This window comes from Homo sapiens, chromosome 18 (genome assembly GCF_000001405.40).
Source record: "Homo sapiens chromosome 18, GRCh38.p14 Primary Assembly".
Taxonomy (NCBI): Eukaryota; Metazoa; Chordata; class Mammalia; order Primates; family Hominidae; genus Homo; species Homo sapiens.
This window is the reverse complement of record NC_000018.10, coordinates 6,890,366-6,915,716: the sequence shown is the minus strand read 5'-3', so window position 1 is coordinate 6,915,716 and position 25,351 is coordinate 6,890,366. Positions and strand designations below refer to the sequence as shown.

Here is a 25,351-nt window from a genome sequence, read left to right as displayed (position 1 = left end):
TTTTTAGTTTTTTTCTCTTTATTTCTTATGGATAAAATGCAACATACATATTCTACTTAACAATGAAAGCTGATGGAACAGAAGAATCAATATTAGCTTTTGAGATGGGCAAAGACATAAAACATTGGCGTTTTCTAGTGTCATGATTTGTCAAATTAGTTTTAGAAAATAGTTGGTAAATGTCTGACAGAAAAAAATTTTTAATTAAGGTGTATGTAAGTGTGTAAAACTGTTAAAAATGCTTGAAAACAAACATTTTAATCCCATGACATATTATTTTTATTTGTGGAAAACAGTTAAAAACTGCCTGTCAGAGAAACTATTTAATCCTTTAACATAAAGTCTTTTAAGGCACATAAACATTTATGAAGAACAGTTGAAATATGCTCGCTAGGAAGAAGGGACATTTTAACTCATATGAGCTTTCAGTCAAGTGAAATACGTGGACAGCAGATGAAAATGCCTGAAAGAAAAGATGGACATTAATTCCTACTCCTGAACGCTTGCATCTGCACATGGTTAGAAACTCAAGACAATGAGCAGGACACAGAATTCTCTCAGAGTATACCACATAGATCACAGTTACACAGTATTTCTGGTTTTAAAGCTTTGCTGAAAATATTTTTCATCATTAAATGTATATTATTAAACATACACTGAAAGCTAACTGAAGTGATTTAAATAATAAGATTCAGGCACAGTTTGTAACAACAATTGTTAAAGTCCATTCATTTTTTTTTTCCCAAGAAAGGCAAGTGAGGTAGTTTATACTGTATAGACGTTGTAAATAGTTGATAATCCAGTTTGTTTAGAGATCATTGACTCCAAGAATCATATTTCCAAGTGAGCTGCTTAACAAAGGGATCTTCTTTTGCAGGATGGAGGAAAACAATGAATCAACTCTAGGATTTTTTTCTGAATAAGCATTCCTAAAATGTTAGTTCCCTCTAACACTTTCTCCTGGAGGACATTATTTTCCCAAGTGTATACCAAGAGCACTAGGAATGGGTGAGGGGGAGAAGCTCTTAAGGATAGCATGTAGAAGCCCAGTATCTGCCCTTCTTTTGTTTGCAAAGATATGAGTCTTTTTTATGAATTTATTAAATTTTTAAAAAACAACTCTTGATAAGGCAAAAATTCTTTCAATACTTAGATGACAGGCATCTTTGCATTTTAACTGTAGGGGTTTGTTTATTCTTAGGAATAAAATTGGTCAAAAGAACCTCCACACAAATATTAGTCTGTGTATCTACTAAAAATTCTTCTCTAATGAATTTGCCCTCTGATTAAGAATCAAAGTTATATCCAATGATACTAGTATTGACATGGCCTTCCATACATACATATATACGTATGGAAGTTGAAAGTTGCCACACATCCTTGAATAAACTAGAGTGATTATACTTACTGACTCAGCGAAGTCCCTGCCATTTAAAACCACATGAAAGTAGACAAGAATTTGTATTTTACTTGTTACCTATTAGGGATTTATTTGAAACTGGTGACAAGCTGAAGTAAATCTTAAAACCTTCAGAATTTACTCATAGGTTCTAATGTGTTTTCAGTCAAAAGAAATAAAAATTCTCAAATTAAAAAATTAAATGAACAGATTTGTGAATTTTCTACATAAACACAACAGAATTGAACCATTCAAATGCAAGGAAATACACTGAGAAATATCATTCAGTTTTCATATATACGCAGAAATGTAAGGTAGCTATTTGAAGAATTTCTTCCATACGTGGTCATAAATTACTGCCGTTTTACATCTTGGGATGTGGCAATTACATAAAGTAAAATGTTTACCCTTGTCTGAATTGCAAAAATGATAAAAGCATTTTTTTCAGAGTCTAGAAAGTCATTATGTAAAGTCATGTGCCACCAATTACCCATACATTAAAAATGAATAAAATGTAGGAATAAACATAAACTTATACAGAAGGCACGTTTTCTTTTAATGGGTTTTCAGGCAAAAAAAAAAATTCTCAGATGAACAAATTAAATGAATGGAACAAAATTCTAAATGCCAGAAAGTTATCTATATATTTTAATACAAGTGATGTTTTGTATAGATATCAAGGTGTAATAATAGTATATACAAGATTTCTTCTACAAATGGGCTTAAATATTATCACGTTTTGAGACTTGCGAAGTAGACAAAAAGATGTTTTCTGTATTTGTGAGCAACTTTGTCTACTGCTTGAATTGTTAAGAGAGAGTCATTTGGGTCTCATTAAAACCAATATAAATTCATCAAAATCTCAATCTATAGATTCCAAAAAAGCCAATGTATATATCTGGGATAAATGAGAACTCTGTCCCCATTTCCAGCTAATCTGAGAAGGACTATATCCATAGTCTCGAGGAAAGTCAGAGCTGTCCAATCCCTCAGCACCTTTTAGATTTGCTCCAAATTAGAAACGTGGGGACTATGTGTTCTGGGCAATCACAGGTCTGGAAAATGGCTCTGCAGGCTCTTGATAGTGAGACAGTGGTCATCTTACCAGACATGCATCTGATTTTAAGCCTCAGGCTAATCCACAATGCTCGGCCATGCCTATGATTAACAAACAAAAGCAAAATCTGCTTTTATAGTTTAGGAAACCTGGATAGAACAGTATTTTTCAGCATTCTTGGATAAAGCAGTTCTGCATTTTTAAATTGGGACTGCAGAAGTGACTGTCTATAGTTGTGAAATATAAAAAATGGTATGTTTGATCAGAAAAGGAAGCCCGTGCCTGGCACTTGGAAAGATACTGAGCATCATAACCGTAATGAGAAAATGTAGGCTCTGTGAATGTTAACTACAAATCAGGTTAGGAAAGCATATGACACCCTTTGTCAAACTAAGCTTCACTAGGAGGACCTGTGCTCATAGAAGAATATGCTTTAAAAGTATCAATTTTCCACAGTCGATGATGGAGAAAAGTTCATTTGCACCAGAATGCTGATAGTCACAATACACAGCCTGACATATATAACAATACAGTTTTCTGTAAACAGAAGTTCTTCCTCTTCCAATTCAGGAGTCAGTCAGAGCATAAATATTGCATGTTTCACTTTAGAAACTGATTCATTTTAGAAAGCAGATCTGGATTATTTTGCAGGGTAGAAATGAAGGCTATTTCTGGCATTCTTGCTCAAAAAGTCAATATATGTACATTAAGTATAAAAAAGGGTCTCTTTCACCTCTTTTGTTTCGTAGCATTGGCTACATAAAGAACATTGCTTATCCCTAGGTCTAGGGCCAAGTTCATTTCTGCTAGGAAGTTGAAATACTAGAAGTGATTAGAGTTCCATATTCTAGATTGGTCTTTCTTCTGGAAGGACCACATCATCTTTCCTTTACTTTTATAAAAAAAAAAGTCATGAGAAAGCTTCAGTTGAATTGGTGAACCGGCGCCTCTTCCATAGTTCATGCTTACAATGCCCACTGCTGAGGGCCAGAAATACTGAGAATGCTGTAGGAACAAATACGTCAAACACAGTGTTGTTTTTTCCCTACCAAAATGTAGGATCTTTTTGGCATATAATACATGATAGCAGCTCTCTCGAGGATATTTTAAGAACTTTGTTGGGGTTTAATCACCCATTCTGCTTGAGGATTTATACGATATACATCCAATATATAAGCATCTGGATCCAAGCAATGCTCTCCTAAAAGAAAGAGAAAGATCAGAGAATTAGTGTACATTTGTGTGTGTGTGCGTGCGCACACATATGTGTCTGTGTGTGTTTGTGAGGTTCAAATAAGGTTAATATAGTTTTCTTGGCCAAAGTAAGTAGACATATGTTAAGGTTTCTTAACAAACTCTTCTTCCCTCTTCTCCCTCTCTCCTTTCTTTTTTTTTTCTTTCTTTAAGACTGTGAAGTATGGGTATATCAAACAAATCTCATGTGAAATTTTGGAAGAAAGCAGACATACCATCACAGGCAAATTGTTCCCTTGCTTCATGGCATCAATTAGAAAATTATGGCAAGGGCTGGGCGCAGTGGCTCACACCTGTAATTCCAGCACTTTGGGAGGCTGAGGCAGGTGGATCACTTGAGGTTAGGAGTTTGAGACCAGCCTGGACAACATGGTGAAACCCCATGTCTACTAAAAATACAAAAATTAGCCAGGTGTGGTGGTAGGCGCCTGTAATTCCAGCTACTGGGGAGGCTGAGGCAGGAGAATCACTTGAACCTGGGAGGCTGAGGTTGCAGTGAGCCAAGATCGCACCATTGCACTCCAGCCTGGGTGACAGAGTGAGATCCCGTCTCAAAGAAAAGAAAAGAAAAGAAAAATATGGCAAGAACTTGTTTCAGGTATATTAGCATATAAACTCATCATTTATATGCTAATACATGTCCTCCAGTGGTTTTATAGATAGGTACTTGACCAGAGCTAGAGAAGATTCAAGTCAAGTTCATTTTAGGAATGGTCATTTTGTTTCTTTACTATGGACGTAAAGCCCATGGGCAGGAAATCCCAAAATGGTAACAACTAAAAGATCATTTCCTGGGGCAAACGTATTCGAAAGTCTTTACGTGCAGTGTGCTTGAAATGTATGCTGAAGTCTCAAACAAAACTACCAAGAGCTGGCCGAGCGCGGTGGCTCACGCCTGTAATCCCAGCACTTTGGGAGGCCGAGGTGGGCGGATCACAAGGTCAGGAGATCGGGACCATCCTGGCAAACTCAGTGAAACCCCATCTCTAGCAAAATTAGCCGGGCGTGGTGATGGGCGCCTGTAATCCCAGCTACTCCGGAGGCTGAGGCAGGAGAATGGCGTGAACCCGGGAGGCGGAGCTTGCAGTGAGCCGAGATCGCGCCACTGCACTCCAGCCTGGGCGACAGAGCGAGACTCCGTCTCAAAAAAAAAACAAAGCAAACAAAACAAAACAAAAAAACAAAACTACCAAGAGCTGTGTGAGTGCTAGGTTGCTTGATTCATTCACTTACCACATATTAATAATGCGCCAGGCACTATTCTAGGGGCTGGGTTTACAGCCATGTCTAAGAGCAGCACAAGGCAACTAACAAACAAACATGATATCAAGTAAGTCCACTGGTGATAAGAACATGAGAGAAAGACCAAGCATGGAAGGCATGTTCGGGAGGGTGCGAGGAAGGAGGGTCTCGCTGAGAGGCTGATTTATCCGCAAAGACCTGGCAGAGACCAGGGACTGAGAAGTGAGGCTGTCTGGGGGGAGGGCATCCTGGGGAAAAGTCAGAGCAAATGCAGAGGCCCCAGATCCAACCCTGTCAGGTGATTGGATTTACAGGTTTAGTGTTTAAAGGGACCCGTGGGATAGAAATCTCAGTGGCATCCACATACAGGTGTATTTAAAGCAGTGAGATGGATTGAGCTCGCCAAGGAAGGCAAGTGCAAATACAGGAGAGTTCCGAGGACTGAACCCTACCGTTCTCCAACCTTGAAAGGCTGAGAGGACAAGAAATAAGGGGCACAGGGTCTCCAGCAGCGCAGCTAGGAAAAGTGGGAAGACAGTCAGAAGCTTAGGGCATCCTTGAAGTCAGGTGAAGAAAGTGTTCTTCAAAGGAGGGAAAGATCAACTCAGGCAGTTCTAAAAACAGACGAGTTGTCTGGTGACCATGACAAGAGGGTGATTCTGGTGAAGTGCTGAGGGGCAGAGTGTGCCTGGAGTGGCTTCAAGAGATAACAAGGAGGAAGAAATTGGAGCGTAGACACTGATTCAAGAAGCTTTTGCTGTAAGGTGGAACAGAGAAATGGGAGTAGACTTAAAGGGGGGTGAAGAAATAATTTTATAAAGGTGAGGGAAATTGCCAATTTTTAAAATGCAGATGGAAATGCTACAGTTGGGAGGGAAAGGCTGATGGTGTGGGAGAGTGGAGGGTGCTGGTGAGAGGAGGCACTGCCCTCAGTGGGAGCACGGAGCACCCATGGGGCTGTGAGGATATTCACAGACCAAGCGGGGAAGTTTTGCTGATTCCTCCCCTGCTCCCCCAGGGAAATAGAAAGAATGAATTTGGGAGGAGAGTTAAAATAGGGAAGTTAATCAAAATGGTGTCATGCTTCTGAAAGTTCTTACAGTATTCTCTTTGTTTTGCAGAGTCTCCAGAGAGACTTTCCAACTTCAAATCACACTGAAAAGACCGAAGCCAGCCAGGCGCAGTGGCTCACACCTGTAATCCCAGCACCTTGGGAGGCCGAGGCGGGTGGATCACTTGAGGTCAGGAGTTCGAGACCAGCCTGGCCAACATGGTGAAACCCCGTCTCTACTAAAAATATAAAAATTGTCTGGGCGTGGTGGCGGGCATCTGCAATCCCAGCTACTAGGGAGGCTGAGGCAGGAGAATCACTTGAACCCGGGAGGCGGAGGTTGCAGTGAGCCAAGATCACTCCACTGCACTCCAACCTGGGCAACAGAGCAAGATTCTGTCTCAAAAAAAAAAGAAAAGAAAAGAAAAGAAAAGAAAAGCAAAGAAAAGAAAAGAAAAGAAAAGACCCAAGCCTACTCCATATCAACATTAAAATATTCTCATTTAAATTTTGAAAACATTTTAGAAAAGCTGTGCAACTGTTCCCACATGAGATAAAAATATCAGAAACCTACTGATTTTTAGTTTTTATCTGAGAAATTCATAAAACATACCTTTATGATTATAGCAACATATTTCTTTTAGAGTAATCAGAGAATTTAGCAGTAGAAATTATTACAGTATGCTTACCTATATTTCCTCCAATTTCATATAACCTTTGGTTCTGAATCTTAATACATTCTGATGAACCATGACTGAAAAAAATGAGAAAATAATATAATTTTAGTACTTTTTCCTGATCTGAGGTAAAAATGCATGTTAAATAACCAGGCAACAAACAATTCATTCTGCCTTGACGAAATGTGTCCCACAAAACTGTATCATGACTGAAGTTATGATAAAAATAATTGTTTTTCCGTCTGACACAGACAAGAAGCTGAGGCCCAGGGAGGACGGGACTGCTCCCACCAGGATGGGCAGCCGCAGTGCTCCACTACATAGAGCCCATTCAGGCCACAGCTGCCTGCTCCATTTCAGGTTAGTTACTGTTACTGACACATCAAGGCTGGACACGGAGCAGCTGCGTGTTTAGTACTGCCTTGTCATTGGCCATATTACTCTCAATCCAAAAGAAGTCAGGTTTTATTTCTGCATTTGCCAAAAAATTGAATGGAATTATCAGCCCATGTCACATTTCTCAGTTTGCCTCAAGCTTTGCAAGGTGTCTAAGGCTGACTTCATTGCAAGTCTCTGCCCCATAATAAAAGCAAGTCACGGCCGGACACGGTGGCTCATGCCTGTAATTCTAGCATTTTGGGAGGTTGAGGCGGGTGGATCATCTGAGGTCAGGAGTTTGAGACCAGCCTGGGTAACATGGCAAAATCCCATCTCTACTAAAAATACAAAAAATCAGCCGGGCGTGGTGGCATGTGCCTGTAGTTCCAGCTACCCAGGAGGCCGAGGCAGGAGAATTGCTTGAACCCGGGAAGAGGAGGTTGCAGTGGGTGGAGATCGTGCCATTGCACTCCAGCCTGGGCGACAGAGTGAAACTCCATCTCGAAAATAAAATAAAATAAAATAAAATAAAACAAAATAAAATAAACTATAAAATAAAATAAAAGCAAGTCACAGGAAACTATCGCTCAATTTAATTTTTCCACCCTAGACTAGAATGCTGGGTTAGAAGAGTCTGAATGACCATCGCTGACCTCCATCCCCATCAAGGAGTGACTTTCAGCTTGGTTACTTCAAATGATTGTCCTGGCCTCTCCACTGTGAGGAAGATGCAAGTGTGCCCTCTTTTTTTGTTGTTGTTTTTTGTTTAATTGAACTTTCATTTGAGGTGCTGTAGATTCACACGTAGTTTTAAGAAGTAATACAGGTGCATCCTGTGCACCCTACACCGATTTCTCTCAATAGTAACATCTCACAAAACTCTAGTGCAGTATCATGACCAGAATGTTGACACCCATTCAGGGAAGATGCAGAACATTTCCAGCCCCACAAGGCACCCCCTGTTGCCTCTTTATAGCCACATTCACTCCTTCTCCCCATCCTACCCTATCTCCATCCCTCACCCCCAGCAGCACTTCCCTATTCTACATTTCTGTAAGTTGGTCAATTCACAAAGGTTAAACAAATGGAAACACACAGTATGAAACATTTTTGTATTGCCTTTTTTTCCCCACTTGGCATAAATCCCTAGAGATCTACCCAAGTTGCTGCATTTTTATTGCTGAGTAGTATTCCATGGTATAGATGGGCCAGTTTCTGTAGTCACTCACCTGTTGAAGGACACCTAGGCTTTTTTTTTTTTTTTCCAGTTTTTGACTGTACAAATAAAGCTGCTATCAGCATTTGTGAACAGGTTTGTGTGTGAACATGGTCTTCATTTCTTTGGGATAAATGCCCAGGAGTGTCAGTGCTGGGTCATACGGCAGTTGGAGATTTAGTTTTTTAAGAAACTGCCAAACTATTTTATGGAGTGACTGCACTATTGACATTCCCACCAGAAATGAATGAGTGATCCCGTTTCTCTGTATCTTTGCCTGTATTTGGTGTTGTCACTATTTTTTATTTTAGCCATTCTCACAGGTGTGTAGTAATATGCAATTGTGGTTTTAATTTCCATTTCCATAATGGCCAACGATGTTGAACATCTTTTCATGGGCATATTTGCCATTTGTTTATCTCTTTGGTGAAAAGTAATCTGTATCTCCTTAGTAAAGTGTCTGTTCATGTCTTTTGCCCACTTTCAAATTGGATTGTTTGGTTTTTTTAACTGTTGAACTTTGAGTGTTTTATTTATATATTCTAGATACTAGTCCTTTGTTGGATATGTGGTTTTGCAAATATTTCATCCCAGTCCTTAGTTTGTCTTTTCATCCTATTCACATGGTCTTTTAGAGTATAAGTTTTCCATTTTGGTGAGGTCAATTTATCAATTTTATTTCTTATGGGTCACATTTTTTATGTCAAGCTCTAAGAACTCTTTAGTTTTAGATCATAAATGTTTTCTCCTACATTATTTTCTAAGGGTTTTATAGTTTTACACTACACACTTAAGTCTGTGATCCATTTCGAGTTAATTTTTGAATAGGTGTGAGGTTTAGATCGAGGTTTATTTATTTATTTTTTGCCTATGGATGTCCATTGCTACAACACCATTTACTGAAAAGGCTTCCTCCATCAAATTGCTTTTGTAGTTTTCTCAAAATCAGTTGCTGGAATAGTCAAATTCAGAGAGACAGAAAGGAGAAGAATGGTTGCCAGTGGCTAAAGGCAGGGAGAATGGGTATAGAGTCTCAGTGTGGGATGAGAAAAAGATTTTGGGTATGAATGACGGTGATGGTTGCACAACAATGTGAATGTATTTAGTGCTATTGAACTGTCCCTTTGAAATGGTTAAAACATACTTTTATGTTATGTATAGTTTACAATAAAAATCTTTTAAAAATCAGATGGGCCTATTTGTGTAGGTCAATTTCTGGGTTCTGTATTCTATTCCATTGATCTAAGTATCTATCCTTCCACCAATATCATACTATCTTGATTATTCTACCTTTTATATAATCAGCCTTAATATCTAGTAAAGTGATTCCTCCTACTTTATTTTTCTTTTTCAATATATTTTAGTTATTCTAGGGCCTGTGCTTTTCCATATATATTTGTAGAATAAGCTTGTGCATGTTTACAAAGTATCATGCTGGAATTTTGACAGGAATTGCATTAAACTCATAGATCAATTTGGGGAGAATTGATATCTTTACTGTGTTATCTTCCAATCCATGAAAATGATATGTTTCTCCATTTCTTTAGGTCTTCTTTAATTTCTTTCACCAGCATTTTGTAATTTTCAGTGTACAGATCCTGTAAAGGTTTACTTAAGTTTATACTTAAGTATTTATTTTTAGAGTGACTGTAAAGGGTATTGTGTTTTTACTTTTGGTTTTAAATTTGGTTTCCACATGTTCCAATGTGATTGATTTTTGTGTGTTAATCTTGTATCCTGTGATCTTACTGAACTGACTTATTACTTCTAGGTCTTTTTAAATTTTTATTTTGTGAAATTTTATATGTAGATAATTAGGTCATCTGCAAATAGACTTTTATTCCTTCCTTTATAACTTGTATGCCTCCCATTTCTTTTCTTTCCCTTACTACAGTGACTTAATATTCCAGTAGTATGTTGAATGAGATTGATGAATGTGGGCATTCTTATTCGTGCTCTTAGAGGGAAAGCATTCAATCCTTCGTTGTTAAGGATGATGTTAGCTGTAGGTTTTGTAGATAATCTTTATCAAGTTAAGTTCTCCTCTTTTCCTAGTTTTCTGAGAGTTTTTATCATGACTCGGTGTTGGATTTTGTCAAAGGCTTTTTTCTGTATCAATTGAAATGACTCTATGGTTTCTCCTGTTGATATGGCTAATTACATTGATTGATTTTTTAATGTTAAATCAACCTTGCATGCCTGAAAAAAAATCCCAGTTGGTTTATGGTGTACGATTCTTTTAATAAATGCTGGGTTAGATTAGCTATTTTGCTGATAATTTTTAAATTCTAAATTTATGAGAGATACTGGTCTGTAGGGCTTTTGTTTGTTTTTTTTTATGGCTTTTTTTTGGTATCAGGGTATTAATACAAGCTTCATAAAATGAGTTAGGGAGCATTCCTCCTTCTTCTATTTTCTAGAAAAGACTGTTCTAGATTAGTGTTAATTCTTTAAATGTTTGCTAGAATTCTCCAGTGAAACCATCTGGGCTTGGAGAGGTTTTAAAAACTTTAATATTATAGATTCAATTTCTTTAATGGCTATAGCACTATTCAGCTAGTCAATTTCATTTTGGTTGTATTTTGGTAATTAGTGGCTTTTGAGGAATTGGTCCATTCTAAGTTTTTGAATTTATTAGCTATAAAGTTGTTACAGTAATCCTTTTTATCCCTTTAATGGAAGTACTATATTAGTGATATCCCATCCTGTTTTTGATATTCTTGATTTGTGTCATCCTTTTATCTTTGTTAGTCTTTCTAGGAGTTTATCAATTTTATTGTTTTTTAAAAGAACCAACTTTTTGTTTCACTGATCTTTCTCGTTTTCCTGTTTTTAATTTCACTTATTTCTGCTTATCTTTATTTATTTGTTCCTTCGGGTATATTTTGCTCTTATTTTTGTAGTTTTTAGAGGTAGGAACTTGGACAGTTGATTTGAGATCTTTCATTTCTATCATAAGCATTTACTGCTATAAATTCTTCTCTCAGCACAGCTTTAGCTGCATCCCACATAATTTTATTTTTTAAATTTTATTTATTTATTCATTTTTGAGACGGAGTCTCACTCTGTCACCCAGGCTGGAGTGCAGTGGTGTGGTTTCGGCTCACTGCAACCTCTGCCTCCCAGGTTCAAGCGATTCTCCTGCCTCAGCCACCTGAGTAGCTAAGATTACAGGTGCCCGCCACCACGCCCAGCTAATTTTTATATTTTTACTAGAGATGAGGGTTCGCCATGTTGGCCAGGCTGCTCTCGAACTTCTGACCTCAGGTATTCCGCCTGCCTCGGTCTCCCAAAGTGCTAGGATTACAGGCGTGAGCCACTGTGTCCAGCCATCACATAATTTTATATGTTACAGTTTTACTTTCATTCTAGGTATTTTTTTTATTTTGCTTAAGACTTCCTATTTGACCTGCAGATTATCTAGAAGTATCTGGTTTAGTTTTAAAGTGTTTAGAGGTTTTCATGTTCTCCTTCTGTTACTGATATCTAGTTTCTGATACCTTTATAGTCAGAGAAGATGCTTTGTATGATTTCAATTATTTTAAATTTGTTGAGGTTTGTTTTATGGCCCAGGATTTGGTCTATCTTTCTGGATTCTTTTTTTTTTTTTTTTTTTGAGATGGAGTCTTGCTGTCACCCAGACTGGAGTGCAGTGGCGTGATCTCGGCTCACTGCAACCTCCGCCTCCCGGGTTCAAGCAGTTCTCTGCCTCAGCCTCCGAGTAGCTGGGATTACAGGCGCCCACCACCACGCTCAGCTAATTTTTGTATTTTTAGTAGAGACGGCATTTCACCATGTTGGCCAGACTGATCTCGAACTCCTGACCTCATGATCCACCCGCCTCGGCCTCCCAAAGTGCTGGAATTACAGGCATGAGTCATCGTGCCCAGCCTATCTTTCTGGATTCTATCTTGTTTTATTTACAGAATTTTTGAGTATATTGCTTTGTATGGCTTTGTTTGTGGTTTCTCTGGATATTACAGTACATGTGTAACTTATTGCAGTTTACTGGTATTGATGTTTTACTAATAAATGATGTGTACTTTCATTAGTTCTCTTTATCCTCACACTTAAAACATTAATTGTATTTATTCCTTTAAAAATTTTTATATTTCTATCATGGTAAAATACATATAACGAAATGTATCACATTAGCAATTTTTAAGTGTATAGTTTAGTGGTATTAAATATATTCATAATGTTGTACAAGCATAACCAGCATCTGTTTTCAGAACTCTTTTTATCTGTAAAACTGAAACTGTACGCCTATTAAACAATAATTCCCCATTTTCCCCTTCCTCTTTGGCCCAGCAACCACCATTCTATTCTGTCTCTATGATTCTGACCATAACTTAAGTGGCGTCACATAGTGTTTATCCTTTTGTGACTGGCTTATTTCATCAGCATAATGTTCTTGAGTCATCCATGTTGTAGCATATGTCAGAATTTCTTTCCTTTTTATGGCTGAATCATATTTCATTATATGTATATACCATATTTTGCTTATCCGTTCATCTGTTGATGAATACTTGGGATGCTTCCATGTTTTAACTATTGTGAATAATGCTGTGAACATGAGAGTAAAATGTCTCCATGAGCCCCTGCTTTCAATTTTTTGGCCACGTACCCACAGGTGGAATTGTTGGATCATATGGTAACTCTATTTGTAATGTTTTGAGGAATTACCATACTGTTTTCTACAGTGGCTGTAGCATTTTACATTCCCACTTCCCACCAGTGGTGCACAAGATTTCTTCTCATCTTCGCCAGCACTTGTTATTTTTATTTATTTATTTTTTAAGATAGCCATTCAAATGAGTGTAATAGTTCTATTTATTATCAGTTCTTTGAATTCAAAATCACATAAGTTAAAGGAGGACCACTGATGTATGCATAGATTTCATTTTTAAAATAGAAAGATAATCCTGATATTCTAGCATAACTAAATTTTACCTATTTTACTCTGAAATTATTCTAGCATTGAAAAGTGGTGGTTTTAAAAAAACTGGTAGGATCCTAGAAACAATTTTAAAATAAATATTTAATTTTAGAACTCTTTTAGATTTACAGAAAAACTATGACAATGGTATAGGCAGATCCCATATGCCCTACACCATTCCCCCATTATAAATATCTAATATTAATATAGTACATTTGTTACAATTAATGAACCAATATTGATACATTATTATTAACTAAAGTCCATACTTTATTCAGATTATCTTCATTTTAACCTAATGTTCATTTTCTGTTCAAGGATCCTATCCAGAATTTCACATTACATTTAGTAATTGCACGGTGCTGAACAGTGTCCCCCAAAATTCATGCCCACCCTGAAGTTCATAATTTGACCTTATTTGGAAATAGGGTATTTGCAGATGTAATTAAAGATTGTGAGATTAAATCATCCTGGATTTAGGGAGCACCTAAAATGAGTAAAGATGATGTGAAGATGGGAGAAGAGATTGAAATGATGTGTCTCAAGCCATGGAATGCCAAGATTGCTGGCAACCACCAAAAGTTATGCGGGAGGCATGGCAGAGTTTCTCCTGCTGAGCTTTTAGAAGGAATCAACCCTGCTGACATCTTTATTTCAGACTTCTGGACTCCTGAATTATGAGAGAATACATTTCCACCTTTTAAGCTACCCAATTTGTGGTAATCTGTTATGGCAGCACTGGGAAACTAATATAGTAGTCAGGTCTCCTTAGACTGCTCTGATAATTTATCATAGTTGCCTTAGTTTTGATGACCTGAACGGTTTCAAGGAGTACTGCTCAGACACTTTGTAGAGTGTTCCTCAATTGGGATTTTTCTAATATTTTTCTCATGTTTAGATTGGAATTATGTGTTCTTGGCAGGAAGACCACAGAGATAAAGGGCTGTTTTTTTTTTTTTTTTTATCATATCAAGGGTGTACCTTGATACTATCAACATACTATCAACATGACTCATCACTGTTAATATTAACCCGATCACCTAACTGAGGTCAGATTTCTTGGCTGTACAGTTGCTTTTTCCCTTTTTACACACTATTTTTTGGAAGGAAGTCACTCTGCATAGACCACTTAGGGAGTGGGGGTGCACCACCATTTTAAAATGTAATTGTCTTAAGTGTGTCCTCTACATACACTGAGCAATGTATCAGATGATGTAATTTTTGCTTCTCTCATCAAATGTGATTTAAAAAATGCATGAGAAGTAGGATAGTTTATAGCCCTGTTTGTACCCATTCTGATGTTCTCCTCTCCTTTTTGATGTTCTAAGCCTTGTTATAATTTCCTTTCTGTTTAAGAACTTCCTTCAGTCATCCTTTATGGGTCAGTTTCTTAGCAACAAATCTCTTAGTTTTCCTTCATCTGAGAATGTTTATTTCCCCCTCATTTCCAGAAGGACATTTTTGCTGAATATAGAATTCACAGTTGACAGTTCTTTCCTTTAAGTACTTGACAAATGTTATGCCACTTCCTTCCAGCCTTCATGGCTTCCGAAGAGAAATCTGCTATTATTTGAATTGGTGTCCTCATTTCTCTCTGGATATTTCAAAGATTTTTGTCTTTAATTTTTACAAGTTTAATCATACTATTTTGGTTTAGATTTGGTTTATCCCATTTGGGTTCACTGTTTCTTGAAGATGTAGTTTGATGCCTTTTCCTAATTGGGGGTGTATTTCATTATTATTCATTCAAATATTCTTTCAGTCTCACTCTGTATTTCCTTTCCTTTTGGGACGCTGATTGTATGATATTTAGCTCACTTGTTAGACTCCCGTAGGTCCCTGAGGCTGTGTTCATTTTTTTTTTCCGGTTTATTTCCTCTCTGTTGTTCATAATCGATAAACTCTATTGACATGTCCTCAAGTTTGCTAATTCTATCCGCTGTTATCTTCACCCTACTACTGAGCCCATTCAGCAAGTTTTTTACTTCAGTTTTTGCATTTTTCAGTTCTGTAAATTTCCATTTGTTGTATTTTTAAAGAACATCTATTTCTTTGCTGATATTTTCTACTTTTTCATTTGTTTCAGGAGAATTCACAATTGCTTGTGGAGGTACTTTTTGTGATAGTTGCTATAAAATTCTTGTCAGAAAATTCTAAAATTTGATTTAGTTTAGTGTTGACTTCGTGGTTTGTTTTTTCTCATTCATGTGATTTTGCTTTTATGAGTGATTTTGGGTTGTATTGTGAACATTTTGGATATGATATGTTGAGACTCTGGGGCTTATTTAATTTTCATTTTTTGGCATGTAGTCTTCCTGATGAGGTTTAGCATAAGGTCTGGGTGGGCAAGTATGTTCAGCTTCTTGCTGGGCCCTTTGAAAGCAGGACACCAACTGGCTCTGCCTCATTGTCTCCAATTGGGAGTGTAAGATCAGCTCCCTCCTGGGCTCTGCTGCCACCAGGGTGGGGGAAAACAGAAGCTAACACTTCCTTGTTGCTGCAGGCTGCAGGTGAAGCTCAGCTCCTCACTGGGCCCCACTGACACCAGAAAAGAGGAGGGGAGGAAGCAGAGTGTCAATTGTTCCCACATCCTAACCCTTTCCACCAGGTGTCAGGTGGAGGCTCAGCTCCCCACTGGGGCTTACTGGTACTAGTAAGGGCACCAGGGAACCTCTGCTTTGGCCTGCCTTGTTCAGTTTTGCTCATGTGGTTGGGGGAAGAGGCTCAGCTCCCTCAGGGCCTTACTGACATTTGTGCTAAATGGCCTGCCTTGCACTGCCTCACTGCTGCTGTGTTTCATTGCTGCTGGGTGAAGGTGAAAACTTAGCTCACTGCAGGACCCTGCAGACATGACCCTGGTTTGGAATCAGACCACCCACTTGGTTGTGTTAGGTGGCAGGTGGTGGATGGCAGATCCATTCCCTGCTTGGATCCACCGAAACCATGGGGTGGTGGCGTGTTTTTTCTATTGGTGTTTGGCTGGAGTAGGGCAGATATTGCCAGAAAGGTTTTCTGTGGTTAGGCCACCTCTTTACCTAATCCTTTGGCTAGGCTTTCCTTAGAGCTCTTTTTCATCTGTGCCTGTTGTCAGTTGCAGGTTGGAAGTTTCCGCAGTGCTCTGTCTGGGATACGTGGGAGGTGATAAGGAAACTCCCAGAACTCACCACCGTGTCATTTCTCAAGGCCTCTTCTTTCCACCTTTCAGAGTCTTTCTCTGCTTTCTGTTGTGTTACTATCCAGGGTTTTCTAGTTGTAAGGGAGAGTACCTGGAAGGAATGGGGCTTCTCCCTCCTTTTTTAACTTAAACACACGGGGGTCTGAGTAGGCAGTCAGAAATAAGCCTCTAGTGAAAGATGCAAAATTGGGGCCAGTTTACAACACTTAAACTGAAATAGGCCATAGTTCTAACAAGTAAAGAGAATGGATAGGGCAAGATTTTTTTGTAATTATTATTATTTTAAAAGTTTTTTCTTTCCATAGGTTTTTTGGGAACAGGTATTTGGTTACATGAGTAAATTATGTAGTGGTAATTTCTGAGATTTTGGTGTACCCATCTCCCAAGCAGTATACACTGAACCCAATTTATAGTCTTTTATCCCTCACCCTCTTCCCCCTTTTGCCCCTGACTCCCCAAAGTCCATGGTGTCATTCTTAGGCCTTTACATCCTCACAGCTTAGCTCCCACTTACGAGTGAGAACATATGATGTTTGGTTTTCCATTCCTGAGTTACTAAGATTTTTTGAACAAGTTGTTATAAAAGATTTGAGTCTCTCTGCAGTCATTAGTTCTAATACATTTTTATTAGAAACATTTTCTTTCTACGAAAGGTCTACTTGAGAGTACAAAGTCAGTTTTGTAGTATATGTAACTAAAAGTCTACTGGATACCCAAATCCCTTGAATGATATTTCAAGTCTCTATATGACTGCCTATGTGGAGATGTCCAGGCCAATAGTGAAGAGGAATACATGTTTGGGGCTCCTGTTGGTCTCTGTCGACTCTTCTCTTTCTTTTTTAACCCATTTTCCATTTAGGAAGGAAAGTGCAGCTCGCTGCCAGTGCAGTATTCTTGGAGCAAGTGGAAAACGGGTTAATGTGTGTGTGTATATGTGTATATATTATATATAAAATGTACAAGTCAGAAGTATACAACTTGATGAATTTTCACAAAGTGAACACATCATATAATCTAATACCAAAAGGAGAAAAAAAACGTTTGAGGCCATCAGCATGCCTTCCTGGTCACTATGCCTTCCTCCACCCCCTACCTTCCACTACACCCTTTAGTGGTAATTTCTGAGATTTTGGTGCACCCATCTCTCAAGTTTTTCTCCTGATGGTAGAAACACTACCGTCCTTACCTCACACCATAGATGACTTTTACTGGCTACTTTTCTTTTAAATTAAATTTTTATTGAGATAATTGTAGATTCACATGTGGTTTTAAGACATAATACAGAGAGATTCTTTGTATTCTGCCATTTTCCACAATGGTAACAATTCACAGAACTACAGCATAATGTCACAATCAGGATACTGATATTGATACAACCTACCTATCTTATTCAGATTTCCAAGTTTTACTTATACTCATTTGTGTGTGTGTGTATTAATTTCAGTAGAATTTTATAGAGGGTCAGTTATCCATCACCACAGTCAAGATCCCAGCACCACAAGTTCCAACACCATAAGGGTCCTTCATGTTGGCCTTTAGTGACCAAAACCATCTCCCTTCCAAATCATCCCTCCCAACCTCTGGCAACTAATCTAGTCTCCATCAATAAAATTTAATTTAAAAAATGTTATATAAGTGGAATCATGCAATATGTTAACTTTTACAGTTGGCTTTTTTGCTCAACAAGGCTACTTCTTTTCAACATGATTGGAATGCTTCATTTTAAGGCCATCCATCAGTCTCACTAGAGACAGCAAATCATACATGCTCTACAATGGATAAATGAGTGCTTCTCATCCTTTATAAACAAGAAGACAAATGTTTATTCTTTAGTAAGCATGTCCAGACAAAAATTGTCATGATCTGCGCCCCTTTAAGGTGATCATGGCAGATTTGCAAAAATAATTTTTGTAAGTATCATTCTGATTCTAAGAATTATTATTAGTATGTTTAAAGGAAAGTAACAGCTATGGTATCCACTTAACTACATAATGTCTATCTGATACAGGCATGTTAAAGTCAATGCAAGCCTAGGAAAATGTTATTCCTGAAGGACTATCAAGATATCTACAAAACTAACTTGCTATATTTTCATTCGAATAAAAGGTAAAACTCGGCTGGGCTCAGTGGCTCATGCCTGTAATCCCAGCACTTTGGGAGGCCAAGGTGGGCGGATCACCTGAGGTCAGGAGTTTCAGACCAGGCTGGCCAACATGGTGAAACCTCGTCTCTACTAAAAGTACAAAAATATTAGCCAGGCATGTGGTGCGTGCCTGTAATCCCAGCTACCCAGGAGGCTGAGGCAGGAGAATCACTTGAACCCAGGAGGCGGAGGGTGCAGTGAGCCAAGATTGCGCGATTGCACTCCAGCCTGGGCAAAAAGAGCGAAACTCCATCTCAAAAAATAAATAAAATAAAATAAAATAAAAGGTAAAACTCACTGAATAAATGAAGCTACGAAGATAGACAATACCTATTAAGAATCCCATTTCTAGAAATTCCTTTGAAAAACAACTTTTGTTGTTAGCAATCATATATCTACTAACTTCATTCTCTTTTTATTCTCGTAATCCACTGGTAAACTCCCTAAAGCAACAGGTTCTATATTTTACAAAAGGTCAAATTTGTAAATGCCTAGAAAGTTATTCATCTGATAAAGGTTTTTCCTTCTTGTGCAGAGACCTTCATTCACATTGACTCACCTGTTTTCATATTGAAATTTTGCCAATATGTCTTTGGCTTTGGTTTGATTGTTGAGTTGAATGGCCATGGACACCTTGGAGAGAAGTGGAGCATGGACCCGTATGACTCCTTCCGGCACGTCAGACTGCCAAGGAGGAGAAATTCAGTACAGTCTGTCAAACTAGGATGAATATCGGCTCAATGATGCACTTAAGAGATATGAAAATCAGTGCTACTCTGAATTAGGAAAACACATCACTATGATCAACATTAACCAGAATGGAACATTACTTTCTTTCTCAGCTGGAGACTCACTCATGACTAAACTTAACCTGGGTTTTTACTTTCACTGCACATGGTCAGGTCTTGCTATAATGACTTAAAATCTTAAGGGGGAAAAACTGGGTTATGACAAAAATCAAATGTTTCTATTTATGCATTTCTTGAACAAATTCCTAACTGAACCTGCTTTAAGCATAATTCTGTACTTCAATATATTTTAAGAAGACCAACCTTTTGAAAATTTTAAGAGTCAGTTAGAAAATATGGCTTCTCCAATACCCTATTTCTTTAGTTAGCAGCCATGAATGGCTGGTCCAAATTCAATTCCACATGGGCACTTGAAACGGGACCTCTCAAAGTGTGCTGAAAACACTGCAGGGCAGTGTAGGTGGCTGTGGGAAAGATAGTGTTTCTTAATTGTTTTAAATCTGTACCTTCTCAAAGGATGGTGATGTACACGATTTATATAAATGGACTCCCTAGAGTCACATTCTATCAATGTTCTATTGATATCCTAGAATAAATATGTTATGGTTTGAACTGTGTCTCCCCAAAAGACAAAATGAAGCCCTAACCCCCCAATACCTCGAAACGTGACCTTATTTGGAAATAGGTCATTGCAGATGTAATTAGTTAAGATGAGGCCATTACATATGAGGTTTAAACTGCAGTAGGGAGTGCCCTTAATCCAAGTGACTTGCATCCTTGTAAGAGGAGAAGAGACATGGAGACACAAGAAAGAACACCATGTGAAGATGGAGGCTGAGACCAGCTGAGGAATGCCGAGGATTACTGGCATCGCCAAAAGTGAGGAGAGGGGCAAGAAGCAGGTGCTTCTCTCACAGCATTCAGAAGGCGCCAAGCTTGCTGACACCCTGATTTTGGACTTTCAGCCTCAAGAACTGTGAAAGAATCATAAATGTCTATTGTTTTATGCCAGCTCATTTGTGGTACCTTGTTAGGGCAGCCCTAGGGAACTAACACAAAATATTTTAGAACAGAGTCAGTTCTTACAGTATTCTCCTAACATTACCAGCAAGGACCATGAGAGCAGGAGTTCAGGAAAAGATACCGAGGGATTTGGATCTGGGTGGGAGCCAAGTCCCAGGCTCATTGCAGCCAAGACTGTACTCCTAAAGTTCACCTTTGATCGTCTATGTCTTATTTCATCCAGCTCCCCAGAAGCCTCTCCGTATACAATACGTTGCACACTCTGACATTACTTACCGATGACTGCAATAATCTTATTCCTCCTATAACTTTCCACAGCATTGTAGCTGTGTATAGGAGGCCCAGGCACACATTCTGAATCATCAGCTAGTCAGGTCCCTCTACCATTCCTTTATGTGCCACATTGAAAATGTCAAGTTTGAAGGATAGTTCATGACCAACATTATACATAAATGTGGTGGATGTCGCCAGAGAAGACTATATAGGGAGTTAATGGAAGGGAAAAGAAATTATTTTTCTTACCATTCGTCTTGCCGAGGGTGATTTTTGCAGTACCTTTGAAGTCTTGGGGCTTGCAGTCTAAAAGAAACACAGTCTTTAGGAGTAATGTTGAGAAAACAAGCATATGTTGCTTTTGGAAGTGTAAACTGGTACAATCTTTATGGAGAACATTTTGGCAATATTTATAAAATTATAAAATGTATATGCACTTTAATCCAACAGCTCCACATCTATGCATTTATCCTATAAATATACTTCATTTGTGAACAATGATGTATATAGATGTTTGTTTGCTGACACACAGATTGTAACAGCAAAAGATCAGACACACACTGTTCACCAATATGAGACTGCTGAAATAACTTATTGTGTGTCTATGGAATAGCACGCAAAAGAAGCAGAGAAGCAAAGGTGCTGGCTTTGTGGACTGATATAAAATAATCCCCATGATTTGTTAAGTCAGTAAAGCAGGATGCAGGACAGTGTTTCCTGTATGCTACATTCATGTTAAAGGGGAAAGAACATACACTGATATTTGCTGGTAAGCAGATAGAGCATCTCAGAAGGTTTATACACCTGCATGTTCCTGTACACACACCCTGCCGTTGGTGATACTATTTGTCTCCAGGAGGGGAAGTCAGAAGTGGCTGATTTTTATTCTATGGTCTTTCCTGACTTCTAAATTTATAACTTGTTAATGAACTGTCTATTCCAATCAAAATTAAAAAATAAAAACACAATATAGTGGCTGGGCATGGTGGCTCATGCCTGTAATCCTAGCACTTTGGGAGGCCAAGGTAGGGAGATCATGAGATCGGGAGATCTAGACCATCCTGGCTAACACGGTGAAACCCCGTCTTTACTAAAAATACAAAAAAATTAGCCGAGCGTGGTGGCACGTATCTGTAGTCCCAACTACTCGGGAGGCTGAGGCAGAAGAATCACTTGAACCCAGGATGTGGAGGTTGCAGCGAGCCGAGATCGCGCCACTGCACTCCAGCCTGGGTGACAGAGCAAGACTCTATCTCAAAAAAAAAAAAAAAAACCAAAAAGCAATATAGTACAATAGTACGAAAGAAAAACTATTTCTTTGTCTTTAAGTGTTTGCTTTTATGGTATTTATAACCTTTATAAATACCATATCTTGGTTCTATTTACAATAAAACATTAAAGTGACATTGATATAGCAATGTACAGTTTACACACACACACACCGTGAGTCCATCCTAATGACAGCTCTATGAAACAGATAGATCATTATCTGCCCTCCCTCCCAATTTATAAGATGAGAACATTGAGGCTCAAAAAAAGAATGTAGTTTGTCCAGGCTCATATGGGTAGTAACTGACAAGGCCTGACCTGACCTCTGTTCCACACATTTAATTATACTGTTATGGTTTTCCAGAGTGAAAATGGCTGCCCCTCCATAAAAGCAATGGATGAACTGGCAAAAACTGTCAGTATTGACTCTTAGAATTCTGGATACAAATCCAAAGGCTTCAACTAGGGGAGTGCTTAAGTAAGAGGAAGAGCTGTGTGTCATTTTTACTTATGCTTTTCCATCCCTGCTCTCCAGTTCAGTGATAGCCTTGAAAATAACAGCCTGCATTTCTGGCATGGGTACTGGCAGGGAGCAGAATGGACCTCACTCAAGAAGTCTAATGATTTGTTCTCATCTGTCTGGTGGCTCCCTCAAAGACTGGCTCAAAAGGCTTGCCTTTACCTTGCCTAACTTGGAACTTGATGGGTGCTAGAGGGGTGTAATGTCAAAAACGTTTACAGGCAAGTGTTTTTGTCACAGCTGCCTGATGCAGTGGATCAGAAGAAATTGAGGAAAACAAGAGATAACTAAAAAGCTTGGGAGGCAAGGCTGGAGACTGAGATGCTTTGGAAAATAAAGGCTGTAAAAAGCCTTAACATATTCTTGAGAATATAAAGGCCATATGATTGAGAAACAGCTGAAAACATAAACTTCTGGCTGATCCTCAGGTTCTGTGCAAGCAGGAAGTGAGGACTCAGGCAGAATTAGAAACTGCTTGGCTGAGTGCTAAAGGTGTGCCCCAGCACACACACTGCTCATCTGCAAAGACTGGGAGGTTTTTCAGTTCCAGACATTTAAGAGAATCTCTGTCTAATCATTAGTTATCATTAACCTAATGGATCACAGACTTCCATAGTCACACAAAACAAAGAATACAGACTTTACAAAATCAGTTCAGGAGAAAAGTCATGAAGCAAACAAACAATAGGTACAAGAGCAGAAGCAACAAACCCTGAGGAGGGAGAAGAATCTGATTTCCAAAGTTGCTACATTATAATACTCAAAATGTCCAGTCTTCAACAAATAGCTGTTAGGTAAAAAAAAGTCAAGGAAATATTGCTCCTACACAAGGAGAAAAAGCAACAGTTTCTAAAGAAACTAAGGAAGTCCAGACATTGGACTTATCAGAAAAAGTCTTCAGGCTGGGTGTGGTGGTTCACTCCTGTCATCCCAGCACTTTGGGAGGCAGAGGCGGGCGGATCACCTGAGGTCAGGAGTTCGAAACCAGCCTGGCCAACATGGTGAAACCCTGTCTCTACTAAAAATATTTAAAAAATTAGCCAGGCATGATGGCAGGCACCTGTAATCCCAGCTACCTGGGAGGCTGAGGCAGGAGAATCACTTGAACCTGGCAAGTGAAGCTTGCAGTGAGCCGAGATGGTTGCAGGACATCGTGAATATACTCAAACACACTGAATTGGTATAATTTCAAAGCTTAAAATAGTGAATTTTATATTATGTGATTTTTTCTCAATTAAAACAAATTTTTTAAAATTTCATTTCTAAATAAAAGTATTGGTTCTACTTGATATGAAGTCACTTTGCCTATCATGAGTCAGAGAATACAGTCTTTCATCATGATTATGATAAATCAACAACACTCCCTCCTGCCTCACTGCCTTGGCATTTACTGTCCTTTTCCCTGGACTTTCACTCTTCCTCCTTTCACAGTGGTATCCATCCTTCAAGATACAACTCCAACCAGGCACAGTGGCTCACATCTGTAATCCCAGCACTTTGGGAGGCCGAAGTGGAAGGGTCGCTTGAGGCCACGAGTTCAAGACCAGCCTGGGCAATACAGCAAGACCCCCATCTCTACAAAATTTTTTTTAAAAAGTTAGCCAGGTATGGTGGTATGCATCTGTAGTCCTAGCTACTGGAGAGGCTCAGGCAGGAGGATCACTTGAGCCCAGGAGTTCGAGGTTGCAGTGAGCTATGATCATGCCACTGCACTCCAGCCTGGGTGACAGAGCAAGACTCCAACTCTATAAAAAGAAATGTAGCTCCAGGAAGGACACAGTGGCTCATGCCTGTAATCTCAGCACTTCGGGAGGCTGAGTCAGGCGGATCATCTGAGGTTAGGAGTTCAAGATCAGCCTGGCCAACATGGTGAAACCCTACTCTACTAAAAATACCCTGTCTCTACTAAAAATACAAAAATTAGGCAGGCATGGTGGCGCATGCCTGTAGTCCCAGCTACTTGGGAGGCTGAGGCAGGAGAATCACTTGAACTCAGGAGGCAGAGGAGTAAGACTCTGTCTCAAAAAAAAAAAAATGTAGCTCCAATGTTGCATCCTCAATGAAGCCATCCACAGTCTCCCACGCTAGAGCACATTCCTTGTCCTCTGCATGGCCCTGGCACAGCTGGCCTGGTGCTTCCCTACTGGGCCCCTGGGGCTCTCATATACATTTGTCTCCCACATTAGGTGTAAGTTCCTTTGAGGGCAAAGTAAATTTCAAGTATCTCCACATCCTCCTCAAGGTTGAATGCAATGTCTGGCACTTGTGATCATCCTCAAGTTAGATAAAAGCAGTAAAGTTAATTCTTCTAAAACTTGTTGGCATTATGTGCCTCCACACAAATAACTGTGTTAAAACAAAACTCTGAATTCCTTGGAATGCAATGAAGTTACACAAAATAATTTAAGGATTAGCTATTCCTTTACTAACCAATCAATGAAGAAATCTCTTTTCCCAAGTATTAGACATTTGGATACTGGATTGCCCTTAAATCAAGTTGACAGGGACTAAAATGTTGACTTTCAGCTTTTGCGAGAACCATTTTAGCCTTTCTGGTGGGATATCAAACAATCTTCCTGACTGAGATATTTCAAGAACTTTAACCAAAAAGCACATAACTCTCAACAAGATGCAAAGGCCACGGTACTCTGTTATGGACCCACTTTCCATGATGTTTATAGTTACAACACTCCCTGATCCTTGAGAATATAAAATGCTTGGTTCTAAATGACAAGCTACTTTGTGCCCCCCTTTGAGGAGTACAAATCTAGGCAGTGGACAATCGCCATGCCTCATTTGCTGTCTTACCTCCCGCTCGAGGGTCTTCCTCCTGAGCAGCTTCCTGACACTTGGGAGCTGCTTCTTCAATAGCATCGTGGCTTCATTCATTCTTCTTACTTGAGTGATTAAGAAAGATGGAACCTGGAGAAGAAAAATAGCTTGGACTGGATGGAAAACACTTGAATTCAAACTCCCTAGCAGATTG

General features: G+C 38.9%; 1 protein-coding gene across 14 annotated transcripts in view; it reads right to left on the bottom strand.

Moving 5' to 3' along the window:
- Positions 1-25,351, bottom strand: part of ARHGAP28 (Rho GTPase activating protein 28) — a 186,001-nt gene continuing 160,650 nt past the window's right edge. For 10 of the 14 annotated variants that reach the window (NM_001366230.1, XM_005258146.3, XM_047437799.1 and 7 more), the window contains 5 exons: positions 25,174-25,287; positions 20,826-20,882; positions 19,091-19,215; positions 6,693-6,757; positions 1-3,657 (listed from right to left, as the gene is read on the bottom strand). In NM_001366230.1, coding sequence (NP_001353159.1) covers positions 3,563-3,657; positions 6,693-6,757; positions 19,091-19,215; positions 20,826-20,882; positions 25,174-25,287 — 456 coding nt within the window. In that variant the 3' untranslated portion in view covers positions 1-3,562. Of the gene's footprint in view, positions 3,658-6,692; positions 6,758-16,995; positions 17,282-19,090; positions 19,216-20,825; positions 20,883-25,173; positions 25,288-25,351 lie in introns of those variants that run through there. The other 4 variants (NM_001410873.1, NM_001366231.1, XM_047437794.1 and 1 more) reach the window with 1 other exon arrangement.